The following is a 6,223-nucleotide window of genomic DNA, read 5'->3' as shown; positions in this document are numbered from 1 at the left end:
TGGGTGAAAGGCACCAGGCAAGGGCTCCTGGAAGAGATGGCATCTGAGCGAAGGCTTGAGAGCTCAGTCTTACTTGGCACGAGGTGATAGGGGAAGGGGCACAAGGAGAGGGAAGAGTGAACGAAGGCCTGGAGGGTGGCAAGTGCATGCGTGTGTGTGTGTATGTATGTTGAACGGAGCAAGTTGTAGTTTGGAAGAAATTGTGGGTCTTATCTCTGGCCAGACCCTCAGTCTCCTGGCGCCCTCACCCCTCCTCACCCTGACTGCACGCAGTTGAAGGTCAATGCATGTTTCTGAGGTTATCAGAGTATGATGATCCGTGTGTGCTAGGATAAGGAGGCGGGGTATCAGGGAGAATGTTTCAGGCAGCGAAGACAGTCTGGGAAGAGATGCAGAAGCGTGGGGACGTTTAGAGAACAGAAGGTTCTGCGTGGTTGGAATGTGGATTTGCGGGGGACAGGATTAAGAGCTGATAACTATAGTTTTAGGTGTACCATAGCATGGCCTGGGCTGTTATGCCACCGAGACACTCCTGGAGCCAGTGGATCTTTTAGAGAAAGGCCCCTGGTGCTTTCTGCAGGGCGGTCCTAGAGGTCAGAGGGATCCAGTTCGAGGGCTCCTGGAGCGAGGCCAGGCTGGTGGGATGCTACAGTAACAGAGTACAGGCTAGCCACCCCAGCCCCCCTTCAGGCATGGCTCCTTCACTCCCACACAGTGGCCTGCCACCTGCCCAGGGCAAAGTAAGCAAGAGCCAGGAAGGACAGGGAGAGACAAAGGGTTTCAGACACTCAGGACAATGCCCCGATTCTATCTCACCTTGGTGGAAGCCTCTCCCATGGCCTGAGGCTTTTAAGGAGCCACAAAAAAAAAAAAAAAAAAAAAAACCAGGCCCAGCTTCACCATGTGTAAAATCTGCATCCCAGTTTACCTAACTCTCCATACCAATTCTGTGATGTAGGCTCAGGGCAGTGAGGTTACTCGTCTAGAGTCACACACCTTGTGAGTAACAGAGAGAATGCAGATTTGTTTCCAGGAAGGCTGTGCCCTTGGCTCAGCCCTCCATTCTCTGGTCTCCTTTGATGGAGCTGGGACAAAACTCAATGTTTTACTGAGACCCTCTGGCTTCCCCCTACAGCCCTCTTCTAAGACATAGGCTTTTGGGACCTTCTTTGATTCTTTTTTGAGGCCCAGCACTGGGGGGCTATTGCATCACCAGCAGCCAGGCCCCATCAGTGATGAATTCATCTCAAAGCAGTGATGAATTCCCAAGGCCAGCGGGAAGACTCCAGCTGTCATATTCATTACAAAAACTTCCCCTTTGCCTGGGAGTCATGGCCAGGGCCCCACTCTGCCAGGTCTTATTCAATATTCCCTTTTGCCCCACCCCCTTCTCCTTTAATTAATGCAGCAGATAACTGTGGTTTTTTGCATGGCTCCTAATGAACTGTGAGTAACATACGGTAGTTGCCTGGCTGGCTTCTTCAGTCTTTGCTGGGGCCTTCCCTGTGATGGGTCTCTGTACTATCTCAGGAAGGAGTCACTACCAGGAAACACCTACCCTGCACTTTGTCCATTGCCTCTCCTGGACAGGGCTATCGGAGATTGGCTGCAAGTCCTTGGGGGAGAGGAAATGGTCTCTGGCTTGCAAGAGCCAGCTTGTCCTCAGAAGCAGGTGGCTGATAAGCTGGAGATAGAGCTGGGGCTGGGTCACAAAGGTGGCTTTTAGGAAGTTTATATCTGAACATGTGAGGCAGGCCTTAAGACAGGGGCCGTTGAGGCAACCCAGCATTGTGCAGGCTGGGCCTGGGGCCCACAGGGGCACAACTCCAGGGATCCTAGAAAGCCAGGATGGCTGGACATATTAGGGAGCATCAGGAATGATTTCTAAGACCTGAGACTGCCCAGCCTAGAGGAGAGAAGATAGGGTGTGGGCAGGGACAGTCATCAAATCCTTGATTGAAGAAGAAGGGATGTTCTCAAGGACAGACAGGATCACAGGATAGGGGGGCTAGGGAGGCACCTGGGCTGTTTTCAAGAAGACCACCCTCCCTCGAAAAGAAGTGCCCCTCCTGGGTGGCTGGCATGCCCTGGGGAACGGTGGACTCGGGGGTTGGGCATCGTGTTTACAGCTCTGAGAATCCCAGACCCCAAATCCGACTCCAGGTGCTCTGACCACTCCCCTCATCTTCCATTGCCTCTCCAACTGGGTCCACAAATTTTTTGTTTGTTTGTTTTGTTTTGTTTTGTTTTGAGACAGAGTCTTGCTCTGTCGCCCAGGCTGGAGTGCAGTGGCGCGATCTCGGCTCACTGCAACCTCCTCCTCCTGGGTTCAAGTGATTCTCCTGCCCCAGCCTCCCGAGTAGCTGGGACTACAGATGCGTGCCACCACGCCCAGCTAATTTTTTGTATTTTTAGTAGAGACCGGGTTTCACCATGTTGGCCAGGATGGTCCCAATCTCCTGACCTTATGATCCGCCCGTCTCAGCCTCCCAAAGTGCTGGGATTATAGGCATGAGCCACTGTGCCCAGCCACAAAATTTGTTTTATACGTGTTCAAATCCACCCCCCTCTGCAACTCGCGAGGTGCTCAAAAGGTGCCTAAATGTCCCTATAAGATCCAGTTCTCCCTTTCCTCTTTCGCCTCAGCCCTCACCACTCCTGCCTGCAGTCAACAATATGCCAGACTCAATTGTTTTCAGATCCTCAGTTGGGTCCTGCAGTTTGTAAAATCTCCAGGCAGTTCCCACGCTCTTGCTTCTCCTAAGCATATTCTCCCTGACTCCTCCTCCTTACCCTACTGGTTCAGTCTTGTTTACCTTTCAAGCCCTAAGACCGAACTTTCTTTGTGAACTCTCATCACAGACAGGATCAGGACCCCTGCAAAGTGCCCTAGATATCAAAACACATGTCACGCTGCATTGCATTCTCCTGATAACCCATCTCTGTCCCCCACAAGACTACAGGCTCCCTCCGGGCACAGACTGTCTGGACGGACCTGGCACAGAGCTGGTACTCAACAAGTACGTGTTGAAAGAATGGATGGCTGGATGGGTGGGTAGATGGGTGGATGGGATGCCCATAAGATAATTTGTAAGGTTTACGCCAGAGAGCCAAGCCCTCCTTCCAGCATGTTCTGGAGCTAGTCCCCGGAGCTTCAGGCCGGACATATAGGGGCCATTGGTCAGACCACCAGGCAGAGAAGTGAATGGATTTTCATTACCATCAAGACCGTGATGAGGAGATAGGGAGTAACCCTTCCAGAGCCAGCCCTGTTGGAGGCTGGGCAGGGACCCAGGGAGTATTCTGATCCTAAAAGAGATCCGAGGCTCATTTATACACAATCAGTCCAAGAACCACCTTCTTGCATCACCAAGTAGCAAGGCCCATTCTTTCTCCTTCTAAGTCTCCAGGCCCAGCTCTCTTTAAACATTGTGATAAAACACACATTTTAATGACCACCTGAAACCTTTTTCAGTGTACAGCTCAGTGCTGCTAAGTATATGTACACTGCTGTGCAACCAACTTCAGAACTTTTCATTTTGCAAAACTGAAACTCTATACTCATTAAACAACTCATTTCCTCCTTCCCCCAGTCCCTGGCAACTACTTTTTTACTTTATGTTTCCTTGAGTTTGACTAGTCTCAGTACCTCATAGAAATGAAATCATATGGTTATTTGTCTTTTGTGAAAGGTGTATTTCACTTAGCATAATGTCCTTAAGATTCATCTATTTTGTGTATGTGTCAACATTTTTATGGCTGAATAACATCCCATTCTATGTATATACCACATTTTGTTTATCCGTTCATCTGTCAATAGACATTTGGGTTGCTTTCACCTTTTGGCTATTGTGAATAACCCTGTTATGAACGTGGGTGTACAAATATCTCTTTGAGACCTTCCTTTCAATTCTTTTGGATATATACCAAGAAGCAGTATTGCTGGATCATCTGGTAGCTCTATGTTTCGTTTTTTTTTTTTTAAGGAAATGCCATGCAGTTTGCCACAGCAGCTGCACCATCTTACATTTCCACCAACAGCGCACAAGGGTTCCGATTTCCTCACAGCCTCAACAATACTCATTATTTTTTTTTTTTACTGTGAATATATACTTTTTATTTAGTCATTTTTGTTTACAATTGAAACTCTGGGAATTCAAAATTAACATCCTTGCCCGTGAGCTTCTTATAGACACCAGAAAAAGTTTCAACCTTGTGTTCCACATTGTTCTGCTGTGCTTTGTCCAAATGAGCCTTTATGAGCCGGCTGCCATCTAGTTTGACGCGGATTCTCTTGACCACAATTTCGCTTGGGAAGACCAAGTCCTCGAGGATGGCATCGTGCACAGCTGTCAGAGTACGGCTCCTGGGACGCTTTTGCTTATTTTTTGTACGGCTTTTTCGAGTTGGCTTAGGCAGAATTCTCCTCTGAGCGATAAAGACGACATGCTTCCCACTGAACTTTTTCTCCAATTCGCGTACTAGCCGGACTTGGATTTTCTGGAAAGATTTCAGTTGAGGAACGGGAACAAAGATTATGATAGCTTTCTGACCACCACCAACTTCAATTTCCTTAGCTGCCGTAATATTCAGCTCCCTGAGCTGAGCCTTGAGGTCCGAGTTCATCTCCAGCTCCAGAAGAGCCTGGGAGATGCCGGACTCGAACTCGTCCGGCTTCTCGCCATTGGGCTTCACAATCTTGGCGCTCGAACTGAACATGGCTTTCTCCTGGGAGAACTTGCCGAGCGCCGGCTTAGGAAGAGTGTTTTGTCTTTTTTAAAACAGCAGCCATCCTAGTGGGTGTGTGGTGTTTCATTGTGGTTTTGTGCTTGCTTCGGCAGCCCACATATTAAAATTGGAATGTTGCAGAGAAGATATTTCGTTGTGGTTTAGACTTGCATTTCCTTAGTGATTAGTGGTGTTGAGCAACTTTTCATATACTTGTCCACTTGTATATCTTCTTTGGAGAATGTCTATTGAAACCGTCTGCTAATTTTTAAATTGGGTTACTTGTTTTTTGTTGTTGTTGGATTGTAAGAGTTCTTTATATATTCTGGATATTAACCCCTTCTCAGACGTATGGTTTACAAATATTTTCTTCCATTCTGTAGGTTGCCTTTTTATTCTGTCGATTGTGTCCTTAGATGACACATGCCCAGCTCTTTTGAGGACTCTTTCTCTCTTTGTTTTCTATTTAAACTTTCGTTTGGTATTTATTTTAAGCTGATTTCACCTAGCTCAATGTTGTGAGGAGGCCCTAGAGATAGGAGGAGGTGGTAAGATTAATGCTGGCTTCCAATCTTTGGGTCCCTGAACCTGATTCCATTCATTCCTTATCTACCCATGTATTCATTCATTCAGCAAACACAGAGTTTTGGAATCAAACAGATCTGGCTTTGAATGCAATGTTTCTCAGTTCTCTCTCTGTAAAGCAGGGGAAAACTGGACATGTAGTCAAGAGAGAAGATTTGATGCTAGAAACATCAAACTAGAAACACTATGCAAAGGGCCTGCCCTGGGTGGACACTTCATAAACAGTAGCGATTGTCATTTCTCAGTGGCCAGCAGTGGGCAGATGCAGCCCTTCTCCAGGGTCCCTTAAATCTCAGGGTTAAGAGAGTTCAGCTTCAGTTTATTTTCCCAAGAGATTAAGTGCTGTTGACAAATCACAGCAGTGCTCTGACCAAGCCTCTCCCCACAGTGGCAGTGATAGTGACAAAGTCTCCCTCCTGTCATATGTTCTGACCCTGAAGGCAAGGAGGCAGGGAAGACACTCTGCCTAACAGGGAGCCAAGGGAGCCCATGTTTGTGATGAGCAGAGTTTCTGTGAAAGACCTTTCACCAAAAGCAGCAGGGTTGAATCATGTTGCCCTGGGTTGTGTGGCGATAAGATAAGCTGAGCTACTCTGCACTGTTTGAACCGTGGAGCTCTCTGACTAGAAGAGCTGCCTGACTGGGAAGGCTGCCTGGAAGAGGAGCGACGCTTCATTAGTCCTTCCCCTCTTGCCAAAGAATCCTCCTCTCCTGGAAGCCTAGGAGGAGCTTCAAAGCAGACGAGGTGGGGAGGGGGTCCTGGGGTTCTGGACCCCACTTCTAACCCTGGCTCTGCTCCCCACTGCCTATGCCACCTGTTCCTGGTCTTTGCGAGTCTCAGCTCCTCATCTGTAGAATGAGCATAGGAAAAATACCTGGAAGGTGCGCGGTTTATGTGAGAAGATTCATG

The 6,223-nt window shown here is 48.1% G+C and overlaps 1 pseudogene; it reads right to left on the bottom strand.

Annotated features, from left to right (window-relative positions):
• RPS7P1 (ribosomal protein S7 pseudogene 1) lies at positions 4,098-4,763 on the bottom strand (annotated as a pseudogene).

Source organism: Homo sapiens, chromosome 17 (assembly GCF_000001405.40).
Source record: "Homo sapiens chromosome 17, GRCh38.p14 Primary Assembly".
Lineage (NCBI taxonomy): Eukaryota > Metazoa > Chordata > Mammalia > Primates > Hominidae > Homo > Homo sapiens.
The sequence above is the reverse complement of the archived record's forward strand: the minus strand, read 5'-3'. Positions and strand labels throughout refer to the sequence as shown.